The sequence below is a fragment of the Homo sapiens genome, chromosome 11 (assembly GCF_000001405.40).
Source record: "Homo sapiens chromosome 11, GRCh38.p14 Primary Assembly".
NCBI lineage: Eukaryota > Metazoa > Chordata > Mammalia > Primates > Hominidae > Homo > Homo sapiens.
This window is the reverse complement of record NC_000011.10, coordinates 30,018,707-30,045,438: the sequence shown is the minus strand read 5'-3', so window position 1 is coordinate 30,045,438 and position 26,732 is coordinate 30,018,707. Positions and strand designations below refer to the sequence as shown.

The window sequence follows — 26,732 nt, the reverse complement described above, 5'->3', positions numbered from 1 at the left end:
CACCACTGCCACCAGGTACCACAGCCCATGCTGCAGTCACATAGCAGACTGGGAGCTGAAGACCCACTCACCTTATCCTGTTGACGTCACCAATTGTCAGGTTCACGACTACACCAATGTCATGTTGAGGTCCGAAGGGAGTGGGTGGATGAGAAGAAATCTGAAAGAACACTCGTGGCGGGGGGTGCAGGGGGCATAGTTAGGTGAAATATGGCTTTATTCAGCAGCAGCTCTCATCAACAGCTCTGTCTGTCCTGTCTCAGCTGCTTAATCTGGCGGCTCCCACACACAACTATGAGGCTGGCTCTCCCTTGCCTTCAGGGTAAGCAGCTTAACTCTTTCTCTCTCTGGGCATGAGTGAGCTGAGCTGTGTCCTGGCTGCCCTCCGTCCATCTGTAAAGATGGACGTATCTGACTCTCTTTCTCTTTCTCTGGGCACCAGCAAGCTGAGCTGTGTCCTGGCTCCCTCCTTTCTGTCTGCAAAGGTGAACAGCTCTGGCTCTCTCTCTTTCTCTGGGCACATGCCTATATAGTGTCAGCAGGGCAATTATACCTTTTATAGACAATAGTGGCATAGCCAAGGGATGGCCTTCCCATGTTATGGCTACACAGCTGTGTTTACATTATACATGGAATTGTGCACATGCACTGCAAACTCTCTGAGTCACTCTGGCCAGGATGCCCACTTCGGCCTATTCCTTGACCAAAGCACAGCCATTTTCCTTACAGTAATGTATTTCCTGTTGTCCCATTTTGGATATGTATATCTATGTGAGTCATTTTTTTTCCTGTTTCCTATTTGGGCTCCACTTATAGAATTGGTTGTAAATTCCCTGGTGCCCAACAGTCTCCCTGCAGCCACCTCTCTCCTACCGCATCCTTGGGCAGTCAGGAGTCTAATTTCAGCCCTGACTCCTTGAACCTTTATGTGCCCTTGAACAAGTGATTTGACCTTGCTGTGACTTGATCTTTTTGTCTTTCAGATGGTCTGAGAGTACCTGTGCTGAAATGGAATTGTCTTTGAGTGGACACTTCTTAGATGAGACCTATTGTGGCCAATAGCTCCTGAGGAACTGAAGCCTTCAGTTCAAAACTTGTGTGAGAAAAATGAATCTTGCCAACTACTGGAGTGAGCTTAGAAATGAATCCATCCCCAGTTGACCCTTGAATGTAGCCTTGTCAGAGACCCAGAGACAAAGCATCCTGCTAATCTGCACTGGGTTCTAGGCCCACAGAAACCATGGGATAATAACTTTGTGTTGCTATAAGCCACTGAAAACAAACAAATAAAATACTTAAGATGTTCCCCTGTGGAAGGGTTCCATTGCCAGGGATCTGCACTTCACAACCAAAGGGATTAAAGAGAATTGCCTTCTTCAGATTTCAGACTGTGGCCTGCTTCTGGTTTTTCTTTCTATATTCATATATATGTTTGTTTAAATCATCCTACTTTTGGAGCAGGAAAAGTTACTATTACAGTTTATACAAAGGGAAGAAATCTGGTACATGCTAAAGTTATTCATCTGTAACTACCTGACGAGCCCAATTAGTTGCTTGCTCCTATGGATTCTGAGCCTAAAATCCCTTCAACAGATCTTTGACCTTTTCTAAGTTAAGTTTTTGGAAGTATCCTATTTGTTCACTTACTTGGGCCAGAGACTATAGAGATTAAGAGAAAGTTTGATATTTGACCCTAATTTTAGGCTAAAACAATTTAGATGGAAAGAACAGACACAATTCAATTTAACCATCTTCAACTGCTGTGCTTTAGAAAGCTGGGAGTGTGGAGAATGGAGTAGGTGTACAGAAAAATAAGAACAGTTCTGTTCTTCAGGGCTTGATAAAGGCTGCTGTGAGTTGGATGGACAATAATTACTACTGACTAGGTCTAGCTGGGATAGTTAGGGGAGACTTTCTGAAAGAGGCAACACATGAGCTGGGTTCTAAATCTCAAATAGGATTTGATGGCTGAAGATGAGGGTAATAAAACAAGAGAAACAAGTACATTCCAGATAGAAAGAATAGTATAAGCCAAGAAAAACCTATTCCAGGGCAGCAGGGAAGAGTCTGAAGTGGCAAAACAAAGTAGGAGGCAAAGCTGTCAATATAAGTAACTTGGTAGAGAAACATTAGGAGTTTGGATTTTATCCCATTGACTAGGAGGATTTAAAAACAGAAAATGCTCACAGGGGCCAGGCAAGTTATGAGTAAATAAAAGGTCCAGGTGTAAGTGCAACAGGGCCCATGGACATAGGAATGGGGGATGTGAAAAACCAACCTTTGCTAACAGTGAGTTCTACTATGCAGTTTTAGCTGATTATAGCCAGACTCGAAAGCAACCTTTGTAGGGTTGACAGTTCTTGTGATTGTTCAAGAAAAAAATTTATGTAAAATCTACTGACTTGAAAATACTAGATTAATTTATTTAATGTTATAGAGCTCAAATAAAACACATTTGTCTTATTTATAGCCCAAGAGCTTTTGGTGGTGATGGTGGGTAACAATTTTGGTAGGAGAGAAGGCTATGAGTTGAATGGTGTCTTAGGAATATTTGGCATTTGTGATAGATTGGACAAGGTAGAGATGTAAAAGAAAAAATGTCTCAGGCCGGGTATGCTGGCTCACACCTGTCTGAGTACTTTTTGTGGCTGAGGTGGGATTGTTTGAACCCAGGAGTTCAAGGCTAGCCTGGGCAATATGGTGAGACCTTGTCTCTACAAAAACATTTATTAAAAAATTAGCAAAGCATGATGGTGTGCACCTGTAGTCCCAGCTACTTGGGATGCTGAGGTGGGAGGATTGTTTAAACCGGGGAGTTCGGGGCTGAGGTTAGATGAAATACCACTGAAAGGCCACTGCATTCCAGCCTGGGTGACAGAGTAAGACCCTGTCTCAAAATAATAATAATAATAATTGCATCAGACCAGTTAAACAGGAAGACCTTATTCAAGATTACCACAATAAGGAGAGAAATTGAATTCAACTTTGCCGAATGAAAAGTGGGAGAGTTTTTAAGCACTGAGATGCACTAGTAGAAAAATACTGAAGGAAGTTAGTGGAGAGGTTGATCAATGTGATGAGAATATCTGTAATTGCTAACTGGCTGTTTTAAAAGCTAGGCTCCCATCCCTCCACAGAGACCGGACTATAAGAGTGCTATCTTTCTTGAGGAGTACATTTCAAAAGGATGGCTCCCAGGTCCTTCCCATCCCAGGTCCTTCAGACATTCCTGGGTTATACAGGATTTATATCTGTTAAAGCAAACTAAATATGGCCAGAGAAGGACTCCTTATTTCTATATTTGAGTCCACGTGAATGAAATGCAACCTAACTTAATGGGTAGACAAGATTGAGAACCTAACTTGGGAGTGTGTGCCTGTAACAGTGGCTGGGCCTTGGCCAATCCCAGCAGCCATACGTCAACCACTCATACAGCGTGGAGTGTTCAAACTGTGTTCAAATAAGGTAAATGCCAACCTGTAACCAATCCAGCTGTTTCTGAACCTCACTTCTGATTTCTGTACATCACTTTTCTTTTTTTGTCTATAAATTTGTTCTAATCATGAGGCATCCCTGGAGTCTCTCTGAATCAGCTGTGATTCTGGGGGCTGCCCAATTCACAAATCATTCATTGCTCAATTAAACTCCTTTAAATTTAATTCAGCTGCAGTTTTTCTTTTACCACATCTAAAAGGCAGAGAAAGAATTTACAAGTGCAAGTTTTCTGAAGTAAATGCTCTAAGAAAAGGGAGGACAGAGGCCTAAAGTTAGAAATAAACTTGTCTAGGCTGGGCGTAGTGGCTCATGCCTGTAATCCCAGCACTTTGGGATGCCGTGGCGGGCAGGTCACTTGAAGTCTGAAGTTTGAGACCAGACTGGCCAACATGGTAAAACCCCGTCTCTACTAAAAATACAAAAATTAGCAGGGCATGGTGTGCATGCCTGTAGTCTCAGCTCCTTGGGAGGCTGAGGCAGGAGAATTGCTTGAATCAGGGAGGCGGAGGTTGCAGTGAGGCGAGATCGCGCCACTGCACCCCAGCCTCGGCGACAGAGTGAGACTACATCTCAAACACACACAAAAACACGCGCGCGCGTGCACACACACACACACACACAACTTGTCTAGAGTTTAGTCAAGCTGAGTGTTAAGGCCAACTCATTCAGAGGATAAATGCAGGGAGAAGAGTTAGAAGCTATTGTAATAATCCACATGTCACGTTCTAAAGTCCAAAATGAAGGACTAACACCTGAACCAAGAAAATGTGCGAAAGGCCTTGAAATGAACGAAAAAGATTACTAGGTGCTTTCAGCTGATAAAGTAGGTCTTTTCTAGTGAGCACTCTGCCAGTTTATTTGAATCTATGAGGTTTTTCTCTTTCATTGCCTGTGAGTTGTTTTCCAAGGATTTACAATGTAAGTTGTGGTTAACTGATTGCAATACAAATTAATCTTCTTTATAGACATGCAAATGAGATCTGTCTGCTGTAGGAACAATTCATTTTCCTTCCCCCGCTACTGATGTAGTAAACCAGTTTTATATCTACTTATAAATTATTTACATCTATTTATAAATTCATGTTAGCATTTCTTATTGCTTATATATGGGTGGTTCTTTGATTGGAATAGCTTACTGGTTCTTTGTTAATTAAAGAGTTACAATATTTAACATGTGTTTGTTTAATTACATGAGTCTTAATTATATAGTTTTAAAAAACATTATTCTTTAATATCTATAAGAGAATAAAGGTATAAATGTAAGAGATTTAAAAGATAGAATCAATACAACCCAGTGAAAAATGTGAAGGTTAAGAAAAAGGGAAAAAAAATGATGCTGTTGAATTTTGTATCCAGGGGCTTGGATGGATGATTTGTCGTAGATAGAAATAGGAGTAGCAGGAGGAAGAGAAGTTTGAGTGCCAAAGTGGGAGAAGAGGCATTCCTTCTTTTACAAGTATTGAGTTTGAGAGGAGGTTATAATATGCTGGTGAAAATGTCCAGCATTTGGACATGATGTGATTGGAGGTCCCATGGGAGATCAAGGCTAGTTGTATCATCTGGGAGTTGTCTTTACATGGGTGACCTACAGAGACGATGATATCCCTGAGGAAGAAAGTAACAAAAGGAGATGAGGGCAGAGCCTTGGGGATTACCCACATTTAGGGGCAGGATGATAAGCTGAGGCAGCAGAGCAAGATAGATTATAAATGGTGTTTACAGTTTTTCTCAGGAGTCGGAAACCCTTTAATCCTTTCCCTGTTTCTCTAAGAATTTTATCTTAAACCTCATAGCCTTTCTTCTTCTTCTTCTTCTTCTTCTTCTTCTTCTTCTTCTTCTTCTTCTTCTTCTTCTTCTTCTTCTTCTTCTTCCTCTTCTTCTTCTTTTTCCTCCTCCTCCTCCTCTTCGTCTCTTTCTCTTTCTCCTTCTCCTTCTCCTCCTTCTCCTTCTCCTTCTCCTCCTTCTCCTCCTTCTCCTTCTCCTTCTTCTTCCTTCTTCCTTCTTCTTCTTCCTCTTCTTCTTCTTTCTTCTTCTTCTTCTTTCTTCTTCTTCTTCCTTTTTTTTTTTTTTTTTTTGAGATGGAGCATCACTCTGTTACCCAGGCTGGAGTGCAGTGGTGCGATCTCAGCTCACTGCAACCTCCACCTCCCAGGCTCAAGCAATTCTCGTGCCTCAGCTTCCCTAGTAGCTGGGACTACAGGCATGCACCATCATGCCTGGGTAATTTTTGTATTTTTAATAGAGGCAGGGTTTCGTCCTGTTGGCCAGGCTGGTCTCGAACTCCTGACCTCAAGTGATCCTCCTGCCTCGGCCTCCCAAAGTACTGGGATTACAGGCATCATACCCTTCCTTCTATCTATAAACCTTTTCTTCATTCATACATCCTGACTTTCCGCTTTCCAGGATTCATTTCTCTCTTCTGACAGTTCTGAGCTTGTCTGTCAAATAACTTGGAATCTAGAAAATATAGGTGTGACTTCCAGAGCTGCCATTTTAAGCTGTGCAACTAAGCACAAGTGAATTCAGTTCACTGAGCATCCGTTTTCTCATATGACAAAAGCTGACCATGATACTTTCTCTATACCGTAATTGTGAAAAATAAGTAAGGTAACATAAGGCACTGCCAGGCAGAGCACTTGGCATATAGTAAATGCTCTTTGAATCTAAGTATGAATTGCCAGATAGGCTCCCCTATAACAGCATGATTCATTTGTAACTTTTGCCCACAACTGAAAGATTTACCATTACACCCCATTTATTGGGGAAAGAGCTATTTATCACAATGAAATATTGTGCTTTTTGAATTCCAAGAGAATTAACCTTCCTCTAAATTCCACTTCCCTATTCCATCACCTTTTCTCTTTTTGGCTTTTAGTGTATGATGGAAACTTTTTTTCTTGCTTATGCCTCATTTCATGATAGGCTTTCCTAAGCTTATAAACATAGACCACAAAAATATCAGGAAAATATAAAACTGTAAAACTAAAGTTCAATCAGGTTCAGAACTTTGGTTTAATGTGAATCTTTGTATCTTTTCTCCATGGAAATTTCATATTGCAAGGAGTAGATAAGTGGCTTGCTCTAAGAGTTTAGGAGTGATTAGGTAATTTATTTTCTGCCTCTGTTGGCACCTGCTTTTTTTGTTACATTTTATTCTAAACTTTTGTTAAATACATATTTATAATTGAAAGGTTTTATAGTCCATTATGTGCCTTTTATTAGCTATTGAGTTCACATGAAGTTTTCTCTAGGAATCAGCCTGAAAATAATGCTTCTTTATTTTTTATCTTCAAGGTACCCAACCCAATTGAAGGGGAAAAAGAATGTCTGTGAGATTCTGTTAAATTTCTATCCCTACTCCTATAGTTTCGTCAAGATCAAACAGATTCCACACATTGGCAGCCACACAGAGCAGAGACCAAATCAGATGCATATGTGAAGCTGCAATAAAAGAGAGCTTTATAGAAAGGAAATAAAGGCCTAGCAGGCATGGCTGGCTGACAGCTGGAGAAAGTGCTACTATCATTATTAAGGGGAAGCAAATATACTGCCAAGGTTCAGAGAACATAGTATCAAACATTGCATATGGACCCAATGCTAGGTGACTCATTCTTTTGCTCTTATTGTAAATGGGAGAGCCAAGTGCCTATTCAGAAAATCTGTTGACAACAAGATATAATCTAAAACACTTTAATAGTTGTTGAGATTTGTCAGATTCTTTGTGCAAGAACTGTGCTGAGTAACCCAGCATCTATTGTCTAATCCTACTTTTTAACCATCCAGTTACTTTACTTATGAACAATTTTTTCCAGGTAGGGTACAACATTGAAGGAAAGCAGTGCAATCATTAGAAATAGGTTATGTCATCGCTGAGTTTAAAATTACGTGCTTTTAAAATTTTATTTCAGGTGTCTCTTTCATTATATTTTTAAGATACTAATGTAGTTTCGTATTCCTCAGCTAGTGGGCTTGCTAAATCTTATAATGTATATTGATTACTTATAGATGGAGAGCAACTGAAGTTCCTAACTAAATCCCCTCCTTTCTTCCTTCCCTCCCTCCTTCTCTTGTCTCTTTCCTTCTCTCCTCCTTTCCCTCCTTTTATCTAGCAAATATTTACTGAACACTTACTAAGCTCTGGAAGTAGAGTAGTGAAAGCCCTTCTGCCCTTAAAAAGCTTCTAGTTTAGACAAACTAAACAAATAATATGAGCATTCCACATAATGATCAATGGCATGAATGTCGTTAAACAGGATGCTGTGATGGTGACTGGGCAGTGGGAGTCCTTTAGATTAGGTAGGCAGGAAAGGCCTGTGACATCTGCCTGTGACTTGAATGATAAGGAGGAGCCAGTCATGGAAAGAACTTAGGTCAGGCCTACCAGGCAGAAGGAACAGTAAGGACAGGGGTTCTGAGGGTAGATAGAGCTTGGTGTATTTAAAGAGCTGAAAGGCCATTGTGATTGGTCTCCGGTAAGAGTGAAGATTGCTGAAGTCAGAGACTGAGGCATTGTCTGGTTACTTAGAACCTTGTGAGGCTCTGTCAGGAGGTTGGGTGTTGATCCCAATACCAGGGGAATTCATCTAAATGTGGAATTGATATGATTAAAGTTTACAAAGGTAACTCTGATGTGAGGTGAGGAGAAAGAACTTAAGGAATTAGAGTAGAAGCAGAAAGGTGCTTTAAGGAGGCATTTAGAGTAATGTCAATAGAAATGATGGCCATTCAATTTGGGATGTTTTTTCTAAGGGAGAAGGGAGTAAAGGATGGTAGGTAAGAAACTAGCAATGCTCATTTCAGATAAGATAGTAGAATATAAGGAAAAGGGGAGGATCTGATTTAAGAAGTGAGAAACAAAATAAACTTGATTAATCTATATAATTTATGGAGATTTTGGAGTGTTATGACAAGAATGAGATTTCCTTGTAAATATAAAAATCTACCTAGATCTCAATTTCATTTTTCTTCACATCTCTCACAGATGTCACAGCTGAGGCCAATGATGTTACCTTCATCCTCCTGCTCTCTTCTCTACAACTCTTGCAGGCTCATCACCACTCCAGAGTCTAGGGAAACTCACAAGTTAGGAGAATTTAGGAAGATACGGATCTGAGACTCAATGCTAAAGCACCCTTCTAATATATGAGGATAACATTGCCTTTAGAGACTTAGATTGACTGGTATTTAAAAATGAACAATCACAAATTTATATTTTTTAATGATTAAAGTTCTAAACACTCAGTATTCTAAGTTTGATACTGTTGTTCATTTTACTAATGAATGGGTCTTAGAAAGAATTTTATTGTGCCTGTAGTAGGGAGTCATATATAAATACTCATTCTGACAGATAATTTCAAGAACATTTTAATGGAGGGCCTAAAAAATGTATGGCATGACATTTAAGATAGAGGAAGACAGAAATCAAAAGTGTTTTTTTTCCTTTTAATTAGTGGTGGTAACCTCACTATCACAGCTCTCTAAAGTTAAGTTTGACTATATTTGTTATTCTTGAAAATAGGTTCGACTTGACCGGCCAGCCAAGTATTTTCCAACAACCTTCCACATATTCCATTTACACTGAAGCTAATATTGCCCCCACATTTCAATATTATTGTGCTTACAGGAGCATGGCTGAGCTTATTTGATAACACCTCTTTAAATTCAGTTAATTAAATGGAAAAAATGTTAGTAAAAAACATTTGTTACTATAGTAAAAAAGTTTATTTGACTGGAATTTTTTCTTCTTTTTGGACTGATTGTTTTGGCATTGTAAATCTGCCTTCCAAATTCACCCACAAACATGTTTCTGTGGAAACAGAGCCACAAATAGAAGCAGTGGTTATTGATTTTCCTTTGGGGCTACCACCTGGTTTCTGCAAAACCCTGGAGAGCATGTGCCAACTTCCGTGTGTATTTTATCTCCTCTTTTCTCTCCCTATTGCTCCCATACCCACATGAGTTTTAAAATAATCAGTTATCTATTATTTATCAAAAAGCCAGTAAACTGGCTGTGTCTTAGTCATCTCAGGCTGCTATAACAAAATATTATAAACTGAATAACTTATAAATAACAGACCTTTATTTCTCACAGTTCTGAAGGCTGGAAGTTTGAGATCAGGGTGTCAGCAGGATCAGGTTTTGGTGAGAGCCCATTTCTTCATTTATAGACACCCACCATATTTGTGCTGCATCCTCATATGGCAGTAGGAGGAAGGGACGTCTCCAGGTCTTTTTAATAAGGATGTTAATCCTATTTATGGGGCCTCTGCCCTTATAATCTAATTACCTTTTAAAAGCCCCATCTCCAAATGCTTTCACACTGGGGGTTAGGTTTCATTAAAATAATTTTAGGGAGACAAAAGCATCAAGTCTATAGCAAGCTGATGCAACAAGGCGGGGGAGTCTAGACTTTTCCTGTTATTTGAGCCTTTTTGATTTGGTCCACCTATAGCCAGTTTCTTCTGACTCTGGTTTTTAGGAAGCCCACTCAGGCTCAGGCTAACCCATCATCTTAGTCAGCCCCCAATGCCACATCAAAGCTGTTCTTCCTCATGTTCCCCAGTGTTCTCTAGCCTCTCCACAATACTAAGTTCCTTATCCTTTCATCTGGGCCTTCCACCTTGATATGGTTTGGCTGTGCTCCTACCCAAACCTCATCTTGAATTTCCATGTTTTGTGGGAGGGACCCAGTGGGAGGTAATTGAATCATGGGGGCAGGTTTTCTCATGCTGTTCTCATGATAGTGAATAAGTCTTATGAGATCTGATGGTTTTTAAAACACAGAGTTTCTCTGCGCAAGCCCTCTTCTCTTGTCTGCCGCCATGTGAGATGTGCCTTTCACCTTCTGCCACGATTGTTAGGCCTCCCCAGCCACATGGAACTGTGAGTTCTCTATTAAACCTCTTTCCTTTGTAAATTTCCAGTCTCTGGTATGTCTTTATCAGCAGTGTGAAAACGGACTAAAACAGTAAACTGGTACCAGGAGTGGGGTACTACTGAAAGGATACCTGAAAATGTGGAAGTAACTTTGGAACTGAGTAACAGGCAGAGGTTGGAACAGTTTGGAGGGCTCAGAAAAAGACAGGAAAATGTGGGAAAGTTTGGAACTCCCTAGCGACTTGTTGAATGGCTTTGATAAAACTGCTGATAATGATATGGACAATGAAATCCAGGCTGAGGTGGTCTCTGATGGAGATGAGGAATTTGTTGGGAACTGGAGCAATGGTGACTCTTGTTATGTTTTAGCAAAGAGACTGGTGGCATTTTGCCCCTGCCCTAGAGATTTGTGGAACTTTGAACTTGAGAGACATGACTTAGGGTATGTGGCGGAAGAAATTTCTAAGCAGCAAAGCATTCAAGAGTTGACTTGGGTGCTGTTAATGGCATTCAGTTTTAAAAGGGAAATAGAGCATAAAAGTTCAGAAAATTTGCAGCCTGACAATGTGATAGAAAAGAAAATCTAATTTTCTGAGGAGAAATTCAAGCTGGCTGCAGAAATTTGCATAAGAAACAAGGAGCAGAATGTTAATCCCCAAGACAAGGGGAAAAATGTCTCCAGGGCATGTTAGAGACCTTTGTGGCAGCCCCTCCCAACAGAGGCCCTTCTCTGTGTGTGTCTTTGCTGTGTTTCTCTTATAAGGATACATTTCATTGGCATTAGAGGCCACCCAGGTGATCCAGAATGTGGAGATCCTCATCTTGAGATCTTTGATTACATCTGCAAAGAGCATTTTACCAAATAAAGTAATATTCACAGATTCAGAGGATTAGGACATGGACATATCACTTGGGGGAGGGTGGTATCATCATTTAGTCCACTACACATAGTAACTATCAAATAAACACTATGAAGAAGAGTAGCTGTTAATAATAGGATGATAATAAGTACTTGTTGGTAGGAAAATCAGAGCACATCTCCACTGGCTGTCTTTATGTTTTCTTTCTTCTCTAAATTTATTTTATTTTATTTTTTTAACTTTTACTTTACGTTCAGGGGTACACGTTAAGGTTTGTTACATAGGTAAACTCATGTCACAGGGGTTTGTTGTACAGATTATTTCATCACCCAGGAATTAAGCCCAGTACCCAATATTTATCTTTTCTGCCCTTCTTCCTCCTTCTACCCTCCATACTCAGGTAGGCCCCAGTGTCTGTTGTTTCCTTCTTTGTGTTCATAAGTTCTTATCATTTAGCTCCCACTTATAAGTGAGAACATGTGGTGTTTGCTTTTCTGTTCCTGCATTAGTTTGCTGAAGATAATGGCCTCCAGGTCCATCCATGTTCCTGCAAAAGACATGATCTCATTCTTTTTTATGACTGCATAGGATTCCATGGTGTTTATGTACCACATTTTCTTTATCCAATCTGTCATTGATGGGCATTTAGGTTGATTCCATGTCTTTGCTGTTGTGAATAGTGTTGCAATGAACATGCACATGCATGTGTCTTTATGGTAGAATGATTTATATTCCTCTGGGTACATACCCAGTAATGGGATTGCAGGATTGAATAGTAGTTCTGCTTTTACCTTAGTGGACTCTGTCATGTTACTTTCCCACATCAGTGACTTACCTCTTGCTGCTGTTGTCACATGAGAGACTCTTTTGAAATCTTTATATCACTCATTCCTTAAGGTTCAGCTAAAGTTTAACCTCCTCTATGAAGTCTACTATGATCAATACTGGTGATAATGAAAGCACCTAACATTTATCAAGAGCTTACTTGTCATAGTACGAGAAGCATTAATCTGTCCATTGATATCCCCATTGTTCTTCCTTCCTTTGACTTCCTATAATATTTGTATCTGTACCACCATAAATTCTATTTAATTATATATTCTCAGATATAGTAATTATAGGTTATGCATGTAGCCTATGTATACATTCTTGATAATATATATTATTCATATAGTATTTTACTACCACCATTACTACTGTGGTTGACTTCCATTAGAGTACTTAACATGGGCCAGGAGCTGAGCTAACTACAGTTGACCTTCAAACAATACAGGGCTTAGGGGTGCCGACCCCCACACAGTGGAAAACATGTATATAATTTTGACTCCCCCAAAACTTAACTACTAATTGCCCACTGTTGACCAGAAGCCTTACCAATAATATAGACAGTCAATATATATTTGGAATGTTATATGTATTAAATATTATATACCTACAAGAAAGTAAGCAAAAAAAATATTATTAAGAAAATCATAAAAAAGAGAAAATATATTTACTCTTCCTTAAGTGGAACCGGATTATCATAAAGATTTTCATCCTCATCCTCATCCTCTTCACACTGAGTAGGCTGAGGAAGAGGAGAAAGAAAAGGGGTTAGTCTTGCTGTCTTAGGGGTGGCAGTGGCAGAAGAGGTGGAGGAGGTGGAAGGGGAGGCAGGAGAAGCAAACAAACTCGTCCTATTATTGGAAAACATCACCATATAAGTGGACGCACGCAGTTCAAACCTGTGTCGTTCAAGGACCAACACTGTCCTTAAATTTTCTCTTTTAATCCTCAAAGCGATTCTGCAATGTATATGCTTCCATTATTCTTACTCTTTAGATGAAGAAGCTGAAGTTTATAGTTGTTATTTGCCCATGGCCTACAAGTGACGGAATCAGAGTTGAGCTAAGGCCATCTAATTTTAGAGACCACACAAATGTATACATTGTCTTAAATATTTGCTGCTATATCACATAAGGATTAGCCTTGTCTTCCTAACCATTTGGGTAGATTTGAAGCTTCTTAAGGCTATACCTCTGCTGTCCACAATTGCCTGTTTCGCTGAGTGTTTGGAATGAATACAAGTTTTATCTTGTCTTATATTTTAATGTAGGGGATGATTTAAATGATTCCTTAGCCAAAGACTATTTGTTTGATTTCCTTTAGAAAGCAGGTAATACCTCTTCGCAATGCAGAAGTAAATGGCTGAAAGACAGCTTGAAAGGACAAAAACTGCTTCTTCAACTTACCTTTGCCCACCTCCCATCTTTTGTAAACTTTTCTTCGTCACAGGTAGACAGTCAAGAAATTCAGCATAAATTATTTTCCTCCTTGATATTGTAAAGGTCATTAATTAGAGAGAATTACTAGCATCAGTGGAAGACTGAGAACTGAAAAAGGTGTAGCTTAACCTGTGACAAAGCACTCTAAAGTCCAGGTAGAGGAAGATAATTAACATGATTGTTAAGGAATTTATAGGCCTGTTTTATTTGCTATTCTTCAATAGCAAAACCTTTGCTCTCACAGTACCATGTCCACATAAACTCTGATCTGGTGAGATTTCCTTTCCATTTATTTCACTCATCCAAAGAAACAGAAGATGATAAGATTTAAAATATATATTTTTTCAAACCATCCTCAGACAGTTGTCTTGGTAGTTTGCATCAGATAGGGTAGAAAAAACCAGAATTATGGATGTTAACACAGAGAAATACCGTTTAGTTTTCTCTGAATTTTATTTTGTTAATATTCAATTAATTATTTTATCTTCCATTTACTCTGCAATAAAAAGATTTCTTTTGAAGAAACAAATTAAAAATTCCCCCATCTTAATGAAGTGATCAAAATGTTTAGTTAAGAGTTATCAAAAATTCTATTAAAATTACCAAACTAACCTGGCAAATAAAAAAAGTGAGTCATTGTGTTATAAAAATGTTTACTTTGTCAAATAGATTTTAGGAATAGAACAATTATCTCCTTTCTTATGGCATTCATTTAGTTCTAACTGGTGATGATAATAGTATTGCTGATGACAGCTCACCAGCTTATGGTCTCAGAATTTTTCATCTTTACTGCATTTGATCTTCACAACAGCTTTATGGTGAAGCTACTGTTTTAATGCCCAATGAACTGGTAAGAAAAATAAGAATCAGAGATTGTATATTTTCCCAAAGTCATATAGCTAGTGAACAATAGTCATGATTTGCTCCTAGGCAGTTAGAATATAAAAAGTGTACTGCGAAGTGTGCTGCCCTCTCTAACAACTGCCAATACTTTGTTCTTTATGAACAAACATTTTATATAGCTGACAATGTGACAATGTTGAATTTTGAGTCCTTTGCTCCCAGAAAGCAGCAATGGTGAAGAAATCCTCCTACCCTATAAGGATCACCCTGAGCTGGTGTATTTCAAGCTAAGACCCACCTCCATCCTTCCTCATTACTCCAAAAACTCCTGGATGGCTCTCTTGCTTATCTGTCTTTAAAAAACCCCAGACCCCCTTCCTTTTCTTTGAGATGTTCCTCATTAATGAATATTCTCTCTACTGCAGTAGTCTAAATAAAATCACTTCTTTGGTACACTTGTCTTTCTCAGTTTAGTGCCGTAACCAGGATATGATCAGCCCTTGTCTTGGGAGTACCTGCTTACTCTTCTTAGGTAAGGCGTCTTGGAGCCCTTTGTGGTCCACTCCTGACTGGTGATCTGGGACTCAGGACCCAGTGATGATTCTGACTTTTGGTCCTGTGATGTGGGCTCTTGTCTACCAGTAGCAGGGTAATGATTTGATTTTGTTTCTTTTTTGGATATTCACTTGATTTCTGGTGCCCACTTATTTTGATTTTGTGGTCTGAGCATTTGCTGATCTCTGTAAAGAAATGAATGATTTATAGAGATCTTGTCTTTGTTGGGTGAAAGATGTTAGAAACTCTAGTGTGTTAGTCTTTTGTGTTTGCCTACATGTCAATTTTGAGGACAAATCAATCAAGAGCTTGTACCCACTGAGATGAGAATAGCTCTTTAACATGGACTAGTGAGTTTTGTATTTCTGTGTTTATGCTTGACCCATGACTGAATTTTAGAGTTGAGGCTATAAACTTTTTCTCTCTCTTTATATGTTTATGTCTGTGTTTCAGAAAGGCTTTTACCTCTCATTGTATGAGAGTACAATATTTTCCTGCTTCTAGATGGTTTTACCAAATTTGATTATAAAATCTCTTAAAGTTCTGTTCTAATTGGCTTAGAGGTAAATTATTGCTCATAAATGGAATATTCCTAAAATTGCCAGAAATTCTAAGACTTTCAGTGTGCTAAATTTTAAAAGTGTCCTTCTAAAAACTAACTCAGAAAAGTTTTAAGGTTTCAAGCTCATATAATTTAGGCAAAGCTTCACCAATGAGACATTAATATTTTTAGTTTAATAAAACAGCCATGTTTTATGTAATTTATCAATGTTAACTATAATACTCATGTAGATTTTTATTTTACTTGGTTATGTTTTCCCTAAACTTTTACAGGTTTACTGGTAACTATGCTAATATTTCTTCTACTTAGTGTTTAAGTCATAAAATTATAAATTTGTATTTACCAAATTGAATAATTATTTGTGTTTACCAATTGAATAAAACTTTATTTCATTAGCAATTATACTTTTTAGTATGCTAGCTTGAAGATAATTTCCAAAATCTTTAGGTAGCTTAAAACCTTGAATTGATAATAAATTGAGTTACTTATGGGCTACTTGTTAGATTCCTAGATTATTTCTAAGTAACATATCAAAACAATTACTTATTTTAGTTTTAAGTTTGTATGCTTTTTATTTTTACTTTTATATGCTATAAACAAGCTATATATTTTTGGGTTTGTTAATGAACATGTTCATTTTCACCACTTTGAAGAGTTGTGCTGTAAGGATATCTATGGCTATAAAAAGGTATAAAAGACTTTTGGAAAAGGAATTTTATTTGTCATAGCCAAAGCTGGCTAAAGTTTGATTTATTTATAACATTTTTAAAAAGAATATTCTATCAAAGATTATACTGTTGGAAAACTAGCACTTAGTTTTCTCCATTAAAGTAGCATTTTTAAAATTACTGGTCTGCTCTTCATAAGAGAAAATAAATGGTTATTCCTTAGCATCTGTGTAATCTACCTCAATAGCAAAGATTCTGTTTAGGCCTTAACAGACTAACCTATGGTTTATGCTGACTTAATTATATCCTTGATTATTTAAGAAAACCATGGATTTTCACATAGACTATGAAAAGTAAGCAAGGCTGTGGACAGTATCACCAAGAACATGCACATTCTACCTGAAGAGCTTCAAGACACTTAACCAATGGTATTGTATAACCATAAGATTTCCTCCAGCAACCTCTTAGAATCTGCTGCACTGATTACTCTTAGGTTCAATAACTGACTTTTCAGTGCCACCTGTTTTACTAATATTTTCTCTTTTCTAGTTTAGGCATCACTCTTTTAAGATGCCTCACCTCAGACCTCTAAAACAACTGACCGGTTCAACTAGTTTTATAGTAACAATGCCAATAAGAACCATTGAGACTATTTCTTTAACCCTGCCTCACCCCATCTAGGATGCTTATTATTGCTTCTGAGTTGTTGAATGTTGAGTGAAGAATGACATTCATTTGTCTTGAACAAAAGGAAAAGACTGACAATGTTGGAGTTTATCTGAGCTCTGTGTTCCCAGAAAAGAGCCATAAGAAGAAAAGCCGCAAAGGACCACCCTGTTCCACCATATTTGAAGTTAACGCCCACCTCCATCCTTCTTCGTATCATCTGTCCTATAACACCCATAGGATTCCAGGGTGAACACCTTATGTATCTGCCTCCATAAAACACAAGCTTCCTTCCTTTTCTTTGAGACTATCCTCATTAATGGATGCTCTTCATGTTGTAGTAGGCTAAATAAAATAATTTCCTCAATTCTCCTTTGCATTTTGTCTTTCATGTAACTTATCCAATTCTCACAACAACCTTAGAAAGCAGGCATCATCATTATCATCTTGCAGATGAGAACACTACAGTTAGAAAACTTCAGAAAACTTAATCAAGGTCATATAGCTAGTAATTGATGGATTTTTTTTCTGATTTTAGAGTCTGTGCTCTTAACCTATAATTTATATATCAACATAAATTAGTCACATCATTATGTTTTCATATATCACATTCAACTTAGTAATGAAATATTCAATAACTTCCTTAGAGTTGGAGAGAAGAGTATACTATACTGTTCTTTTAGCTTAAAACCAGAGCCACAGTCCACCATTTGATGAGCACTATCTTGAGCAGAAAATTAAATATGTTATTGAATATATTATTAGTACTGGGACTCTGTTGAGCTAAATTTGAAGCACATGGCCGGGCCACTAAGTACATACACATTAGTGGTGGCAGAAGACCATATAAACTGGAGCTCCCTTGAATGATTGCACCAAATACTTTGCATGAGTCCTGGATAGAAAAACCCTTCCAGATGATCACATATCAAGCTAATTTTGTGCATATTGATCTTAAATCTTAATTAATATTATTTTAATTGTCTTGTAAAGGTTAGTATGTCACCCTGCTAAGAATCCTTAATACTCCTTACATTTTTCAGTAAGTATCTCACTGCAAATTCTGAAACTTCCTCACATACATATTTCTGCAATAAAGAAGGCCATAGAGAACTTTTTAGCTTTAGTTTGTTCCTTTTGAAGAATTTTTTTCTCTCTGAATGAACCTGAACAAATAGAACAAGTAATCAAGATATTACTTTGAAGAGTGGCCCTTAACATTTTTGTCAATGCAAGATTCTAAAATAATTGCTGGAATGCTCTGCCTCTCAGAAATCACTCTTTTGGTGCTTTTAACTAACACAGAAGAATATGCATACATGAAATTATTCTAAGATAAAAGCAATGGTTCGATATTGTCTTTAAAATATCTTTAATTAGGATCCAGTTAGTTTTATCATGCATTATTCAAATTATCTGCCTTTTAAGATTTAGTACAGCTAATGAAATATCAGGAAAATATCATAATGTCTTAAAGAAACCTGCTGTTGTTTAGAAAACTGCAAGAACAATTCCCATCTGCAAATGGTTATTTATTACCTAGTTATTTTTAGATTTTATTTTTGGGTGCATCGTTCACAGTAGCCTCTAGGTGCATTTGCAGAGCTTTCCTAGTATAGCTTACACACAACATAGAAGACAACATAAACACAGGCTGCATTCACATACATCAGCATATAAGTCACACACAAACAAGTGAGTGAGGATACTTTTCATAGGGAGTTTATCACACTATTGGATGATCTAACAATTCTTTTTTTTTTTTTTTTTTTTTTTGAGACGGAGTCTCGCTCTGTCACCCAGGCTGGAGTGCAGTGGCGGGATCTCGGCTCACTGCAAGCTCCGCCTCCCGGGTTCACGCCATTCTCCTGCCTCAGCCTCCCAAGTAGCTGGGACTACAGGCGCCCGCCACTACGCCCGGCTAATTTTTTTGTATTTTTAGTAGAGACGGGGTTTCACCGTTTTAGCCGGGATGGTCTCGATCTCCTGACCTCGTGATCCGCCCGCCTCGGCCTCCCAAAGTGCTGGGATTACAGGCGTGAGCCACCGCGCCCGGCCTAACAATTCTTTAAAAGCCAATACATTTAAGTATTTGACAGTAATCAACGAGCTACTTCTTTTTGCAGGGATAATGGTTGGTTTCTGGGCCATGCCTTGTGCCTATAAGTTTTTAATGAGGCTATAAAATGTTTATGTTCTGAAAATGAAATTCTTAGCTCTGAATTACAGAAAAAAGAAACCGCACATAATTTCATTGTAACATTGTATACTAGTTTGCTGTAACTCAGTTGTGAAATAGTTTACATAAACTCTTATATGGAATGTGTAAATTTTAAGCACACTAGATATGACCATGGGAGGGTCTAAGTACGAGTACCAAGGGTTTCCCAAGGTTTTGAAGCAACTGGGCTTGTTGCTGTCAGAATTAATGCACTGGACTTGTGTTGGCTTCTGTTCAGAAAATTTCATCCCACCCACAGACCCAGATGAGTGACTTTGATTTGGGACACAGGTGACTTGACCACTTAAGCTGGTAAACTGTGATTTGAGTGGCCTTGTTCAAACAGCTAAATCAATTAGATTCCTTCTTTTGGAAAGTTGAAAGTTTGTGAAGGACTGTTGACCTGAAAGATCAAGTAACAATGACAAAGTCAGCCATTAGGGGCCCACATGCATGGAGATATTGGAAAAGCAGAGACTCAGAATTGAGAGAGAGGTAGAGACAGGGAGTGGGGTGGGGGATGGTGAGAGAGAGTGAGAGAAGCCCGGCTAATCATCTACTTTTGTCTTTGAATCTTGGTTCCTCAGCTCTTTTCTGGACTCCTGTAAAATCCGAGTCTTCACCACTGTTGTATATACACTAGCTTGAATTGCTTTCCATTCCTTGCTACCAAAAGAACCTTTAATAAAACAGAAGCTATAACAGAACGCAGCCCATCTTGCCTTTCAGAGAACAGGCAGCACCGGACCAGTGAAAGGAATCCTTAACCACATTTACAAATCAGGACACCTGGGGCTAGTAATCATCACTGCCTCTTAAGTAAATGTGAGTGGTATTCAGATGCAGAACTGTGAACACTCCCCTCTAACCCCAGGACTATCTCTCTAACCTCCTTGGGGTGCCCTCCTATCCATTTCCCCGCAGCCTAGAATTAGGTACTAAGTGAAGGAAGGAGAGATGGGGTGTATTAGGTAGTGGTGTGGTAGAATTAAATTGTGCAGTAGATGCTTTGTATTCACCGGGCTCCTTTTGGGAAAGCCTTTACTCTTTACTAACTTGAATCACTCTGCCTAATGGTTTTTCTTTTTTTTCTGCCCCAGATCATCACAGAACAAGCTTTCTTGTCATATAGTCCTCAGCTCAACTGTTATCTCAGTGAGACTTTCCTTAGCTACCCAAATAGAATTGAAACTCCCTTCCCTGACACTCCATTATTGTGTATTATTTTCTGGGTAACATTTATTGTTGTCTGCAATTTCTTGTTTGTTTGAGAGTAAGGACCTTGTCTTCACTTATCACTACTGCTTAGTGCTTAGACTAATGCCTGAGACAAAGTAGATGCTCAGTAAAATTTTGTCGACTGAGTGAAAAATGAATACTGTTAACATTCTGAATGTTCACGCTAATGTAATCTACAGCCATTTTACAAGAAAAACTGCCAAAAATTCCAAGTTGGTTGAGTAGTAAGTTTTAGATTATGAAGGCCTAATAAAATTTTAGTATCATGTTATCACACTGGTGGGTTGATTGCAAACCTTTCTATCAATTCCTTTAAAGAGAACCTGTAAGAACCATTTATAGCCAACACGTTCTTGAGTTTCAGATACCACTGCAAAGTTTGCTAGTAAAAACAGTCTATATATCTATTACGCAGTTCTGATGGGGTCTTAACTCAGGCTGCAAAGACAAAATACACGGTGATTATCCTTTATCTGAAATGCTTGAGACTAGCGGTGTTTCCAATTTTGGAATTTTTTTGTTTTTGGAATATCTGCATTACATTTACTGGTTGAACATTGCTAATCTGAAAATCCAAAATCTGAAATGTTCCAATGAGTACATCCTTTGAGTGCCATGTGAGTGTTCAAAAAGTTTTGAATTATGAAGCATTTTGGATTTTGGATTTTTGGATTTGGTCTACTCAACCAGTACCACAGTCTGAGTGGCTTAAACAACAGAAATCTATGTTCTTATAGTTCTAGGGGCTGAGAAGTACAAGATCAAGGTGCTGATATACTAGGTTTCATTTCAAGGCCTCTTTAGGTTTCGAGGTGGCTGCTGTCTTGCTGTATACTCACATGAGACTTCTGTGTGCTTCCTGAAATGGTATCTCTTCTTATAAGGATACTAGTCCCATCATGAGGGCTTCACCCTCAGGACCTCATCCAATCGCTATTACCTCCCAAAAGCCCCATCTCCAAATACCATAACATTGGGAATTAGGGCTTCAACATATGGATTTTGGTGTGATCACAAGTCTTCAGTCCATGACAGATGGTTATTGTTTTAAAATGATGTCCTATATTTATGTTGTATTTTTATGGTTGTAGAATTCTTTCCCATACACTTTTTCATATGATCCATATTCATGATTTTGTGAAATAGGACTGATGCTATAGTACTCATTTTTACAGACAAGAAAATTTAGGCCTACAAAGGTGAGTTGTCTTAGCCAGAGGTTCTGCAGCCAAGAGGCTGGAGAGAAAAACCTATAGCCCCAGGATCTTGTCTTTGCTCCAGGCCCTCAAGCAATTCAAGAGCAATTGCTTTGGTCAAATGTTTACATAGCTCTTTTCAAGGGTTGCTATGAATAGTTAAAATTTCACTGTAAACTTACAAATTTAAAGTTATAAATTTACTTTCAAGTTTAAACCTATACATGAATGAAGAAAAGGTCTCTTTGCTAAAAACCATCCAAAGGAAATGGATAGTGTTTGTACCGCCATATAGCCTTTGGAGATGACAGCCTAAGATCTCTGTGTTTATTCAGAACAAGAGCTGATATGTGAGACTAACTGAGAAATAAATTGGAGGAGCTTCAAGTGTACATAAAATCTGATGTGTGACATGCTGTTCTCCAGAGTCAATGATGAGAAACTGAAAGTTAGCATCCTTATGACACCCATACTCTCAGCTTTGTTTGTTTTAAATTTTTGTTTTAAAATATATCAGTTGGCTAATCCCTAAAATTTTGTTTCTATCTTTAGCCAGGAGTGGAAAAAAGTGAACAAGTTACAGAAATAATTTTGGGTAGATTTCCCAACTGATCTGTACCCTGTGGGAATTTCTTCCACATGAGAATATCCTTCCTACAAGTATGGTCCTTGTTTTGAAAAGCATGTGCTAGACAAGCTTTTTCTAACACTTAAACAAATCAAAAGGAATGCTGGTCTGATGAAGTAGTCCGGATGCTGGCAGCCTGTAGAAATGCATGTAAACATTCTTATGCTGGAGAACAGAGGCTGTCTGTGAGCTTTGGTGATGGCTGTCCTTGGGCAGTAGGTGAAAGGTGTTGATCAAAATCAAAATGGGAGTGGAAGGGGAGAAGTCAACTCTCAAGAGAAGACGCCAGCCTGACTTAATGTCATTGACTATATTTAAAGGGGCTGCCAATGATTTTGAAACACATTTTTTTTTTGCAGGGGATATACCATGATCTTTAGTTTTTATAAAAAGGATCACGTTTAGACATCTGGGGAAAACTCTTTGAGATGAACAATTACACGTTACTGCAAAAGGCATGGCGGTGGTAGTATCTGTAGAACTGAAACACCATCCCATACCCAAACCTTGTCTTGATTCACCTCTGCCCCAAGTTTGCTCCTGATTGGTGCCAGCAAATGAGGCTATGGATAATTTCTGTCTGCGCCAGGATTGGTACTTCTCTTTCACTGAATCTCCACAACCACCCTATTTCCTAAGCACATATAAGGAAAACAAAGAGCTAAAGGATGATTCTATCTGATAGAGTGGATCTCAACACCAGTGATGCACCACAGTATCAGTGTTAATATGGGTTGTGTTGCAAAAACCGAGTTACTTCAATTAAAGAGGGGCATTTTTAAATAGACTTGCATTTAGAAAGCGAAATCTGAGATTATTTAAGGTTATGCCAATTCAATTTCACCCACTTGGCCTCTGAGATGCATTCATAAATGAAGGAGAAAGTGATATCATTGCAGCTAGGAGGCCCGGAAATGCCTGCAACTCAGTCTATTTAGTGAATGCTGCAGTTGCTAATCTGGGTTTGCTCAAGGGTGTGTGTAGTGCATATGAACTACATCTGTCCTGTGTGTAAAGGTGGAAAGGATTGAGAATCCTATCATGCAGGGTTTTTTCATGGATCCTACTTTGAGCATGGCATATCAGAGTCCTCCCTCACTGCTTCCCTTTCCCATTTCATAGTGGATCCTTAGCTTATCTTTCTTTATTTTCACACATGCTATTGTTGTTCAGTGAGCTTTTGCCATGGGACTCCTTCTGCCCTGAGAACCTTTCTCTATAACTTCAATTAGGTGCCACTTCTTTCTGTCCCTTGTGTGACTTCTATCAGCGTCTTACCACCGAAGTGTGTTGACTTGTCTGTCTCTTGCCGTCTAGACCACAAGTGTCCACACAGAACAGGGAGCAGCTGTCTTAATCACCATTGTGCCTGGCACCGTGCTGCAATCAGAGAGTCAGAGAATGAGTAGTCAGTCTTTCTCTCCAGGGTTGATGTTTTGTTGCTGCTATGGTCTGAATGTGTTCTCTCTAAATTCTTCTGTTGAAATCCTAACCCCCAAAGTGATGCTATTAGGATATAGGATTTATGGTGAGGTGATGAAACCATGAGGGCTGGGCCCTTACGAATGGGATTAGTGCCCTTATAAAAGAGGCCTCAGAGAGCTGCCTTGCCTTTTCTACTTTGTAAGGACCTAGAAAGAAGGCGCCATCTATGAACCAGGAAATGGGCTCTCACCAGACATTGAATCTGCTGATATCTTAATTTTATACTTCCCAGCCTCCAGCTCTGTAAGAAATCAATTTATATTGTTTATAAGCTACTCAGTTTATGTTATTTTGTTATTATAGCAGCTGAAATGGAATAAAACACTAATTATAGTAAGAAACAAATATGCTCTTCTGATATCTTAAGTTTTGACCAGTGCCTATATGCGTAAGATAAATTAGGAAGTGGTGGTGAACAGTCATTGAAAAACCCAAGAAAAAACTAGCTGAGTGACTCACATTTTATAAGGAATGATGGGCTGATCAAAATATCCCCATCCATAAATTTGGATATGGGAGCATGGAACCAAATCTCCAAGGCCTTCTCACCACCCCCACGCCCATCACTTCAGAACTTTAAAAGTGAGATAGATAGTTGAGAGGCTGGGGTGAGCAGGTGAAAAAGCAATCTTCTAGTTCTCTCACAACACATTCACTGAACTTTCTTGGCAAAGGGAAGCCTCTTCCATTATTCATTCACATTCTACTCTGGGTCAAGTACAACGCTAGTTGCTCAGGATATAATGTCTGTTCTCAGTGAAGTATCACAGGCATGTTTGGGGAGATAGAGGAGTAAACAGAACATTGCAATTCACTGTGGACCACAGTCCTCAAAGAGAACAAAAACATTTATAATGGGCCTAGCTTGTATCCCACAGGGCTTCCTATCGTGCTTTGTACAGAGACGATCTGTTGGCCTCTGCCACTTTCTATATAAGCAAAGGCTTCACGGTGTGATCTGGAACATTTGTACCACCACTGAGAGAATTCAAAGCCAGGGATACATTCTTTGTGGTAATAGGTGTATTTGGTGGTGGAGAGCTTAAAGAATTTTGACTAGTTGATGACTAAGAAAGGCAAGAAAATAATTTTTTCCTCTTTATAGAAAAGAGGGGCTGGGCACAGTGGCTCATACCTGTAATCGTGGTGGGCACTTTGGGAGGCTGAGGCAGGAGGAGAACTTGAGGCCAGTTTGAGACCAACCTGGTCAGCATAATGAGACCCTGTCTCTACAAAAACTAAAAATAAATAAATAAATAAAAATAACTGGGCATGGTGACACATACCTGTAGTCCCAGCTACTCTGGAGCCTGAGGCAGGAGGATCACTTGAGCCCAGCAGTTAGTTTGAGGTTGCTGTGAGGTGTGATCATGCCAGTGCACTCCAGCCTGGGTGACAGAATGAGAACCCATTTCAAAAGAAAATAAAAAGTAAACAAGGTTTGGGGACTAAGACAAGGTAGATTTTTATTGGTCTCAATCAAAGAATCTTTTTGCTACTGTTTATGGGTTCCTAGAAATTCCTAGGATAATTTCAAGGAGAGAAATAGAATGTTTCTTGTTTGCTTTATGAATTAATTATTTAAATGGGCAAAGAGGTAGGGGTGTGTGTGTGCATGTGGTGGGAGAAGGCTGGGAGGGGGCATGCTCTTCCCAGTTGGTCCTAACCTATCTCTAGCTCCAGTTAGTTGCTTCTGTTCCATCCCAGCACTATGTGCCTGTGCATTCTCCATGGCGGCCACTCCAACTCTTATGATTTTTCAGACAGTGCTCTCTCTCCTTGGGAATTCTTGCTTACCGCCTCCACACTAGATGCTGCTTTACTCTTTGCACCAAGGAGCAACATTCTCATACCTCCATCATAACACAAATCCCCTTGCTTCATAATCTGTATATGCATCTGTGACAGCCACTAGCTTGTATGAACAAATGGGCATAGACCACATCACTAGCACGGGGTCAGTCTACACTGCAGAGTCAGATATGTAAGGCCTTGTTCTGCTACATAATTAGCTATATAACCTTTGGGCAAGTTAGCTAATCATTGTAAGCCTTCATTTCCTTTTCTATAAAATAGTGGTTATAATAGTACTTATCACATAAAAAAGCATTTAGTTATGCAAATAAAATTACATAATATACATTCAAAGAACTTAGCACAGAGCCAGGTAGGAGGCAGACACTCAGTTAATCTTACCTGCCTTGCGCAAGTCCTCCTGAGAGTAGAGTTTTTCCTCAGCAGCATTCCTGTCGTATTTTAGTAATTCAGATTACCAACACCTAAGAAATGCAAATATTAAAGTCCTCAGGCATTGAAAACTTTAAAATTATCTGGGATAGGAACAAACAGCAAAAGGGAAGCATAATTCATAAAGTTTAAACACGACTCAATTAAAATATCCAAGCTTCAATACAACTATCATCTCTAGTACATCATTCCATCTCACTTTTCATCTCCCTGAAAGCACTGCATAGCTGTACCGGATTGATCTCATAAACTGCTTTTGGGAAACAGGTCCCAGTCCTGCTTTTTACTATCCCAAGAAATATCCTTCTAATGAGCCAACAATAAATATTACCAGTTATTTGCTTCTGGTACTTATGAAACTGCACAGTGATATCACATTGTGGAGGTACAGAGAGGGTTTGAGGCGAGTGAGCATGATCGTTCTCACTTTTAGAGAAACCCGGTCTTGCTGCTCTTCGAATGAACTGCAGTAGGGAATAAATTGAGGCAAAGAACGTCTCTAGAGCCAGCATGAAGATACCTTTCTCTCAGCTCCACCAGGGTTGAGGCCAGGGGGTTACAGTTAAACTTATTCATGCCAAAATTTCAAGCTGCACTAGCTGAAAGACGTTGGAAAAACCAGGGTGCACTCCAGGTTTCATTTCTTCTTTTTCTTTCACACTGATTACAATTCGATTTTGTGTGTGTGTGTCCGGTTATTTGAAAAGATAAAAGAAAAATCAAACAGCAACAAAAAGCAGCCCTCCAGGTGTCCTTTTCCGAGCCCGCAACGGTTAGGTGAGTGAGTGCAAGGCATATCTATAATTCAGCTCGGGAATATTTCCCTTAATAATTAATTGAGCATCACAAAAGGAGGAGGCCCAATAGAGCCCTTGAACAAAGCTGCCGCCCCGAGGACGACAGTGACAGTCCTGGCGCCAACCAACC

At 38.9% G+C, this 26,732-nt stretch overlaps 2 long non-coding RNA genes across 8 annotated transcripts in view, besides 2 other annotated features; one reads left to right on the top strand and one right to left on the bottom strand.

Moving 5' to 3' along the window:
* Positions 1-2,469, top strand: part of ARL14EP-DT (ARL14EP divergent transcript) — a 279,977-nt gene extending 277,508 nt beyond the window's left edge. For all 7 annotated transcript variants that reach the window (NR_187437.1, NR_187431.1, NR_187433.1 and 4 more), the window contains one exon: positions 984-2,469. This is a non-coding gene — a long non-coding RNA (ARL14EP divergent transcript). The remainder of the gene's footprint in view (positions 1-983) is intronic.
* LOC107984321 (uncharacterized) lies at positions 29-24,875 on the bottom strand. Its single transcript, XR_001748159.2, has 3 exons — positions 24,845-24,875; positions 23,352-23,453; positions 29-160 (listed from the first exon to the last, which is right to left on the bottom strand). It is a non-coding gene; the product is annotated as an uncharacterized LOC107984321 (long non-coding RNA).
* Positions 19,210-19,777: an enhancer, noted in NCBI's record as "OCT4-NANOG hESC enhancer chr11:30047209-30047776 (GRCh37/hg19 assembly coordinates)". NCBI's record gives its function as "activates a minimal SCP1, AML or CMV promoter by ChIP-STARR-seq in naive and primed H9 embryonic stem cells {active_cell/tissue: H9 hESC(naive and primed)}" and the evidence as "EXISTENCE:reporter gene assay evidence [ECO:0000049][PMID:30033119]".
* Positions 19,778-20,347: an enhancer, noted in NCBI's record as "OCT4-NANOG hESC enhancer chr11:30046639-30047208 (GRCh37/hg19 assembly coordinates)". NCBI's record gives its function as "activates a minimal SCP1, AML or CMV promoter by ChIP-STARR-seq in naive and primed H9 embryonic stem cells {active_cell/tissue: H9 hESC(naive and primed)}" and the evidence as "EXISTENCE:reporter gene assay evidence [ECO:0000049][PMID:30033119]".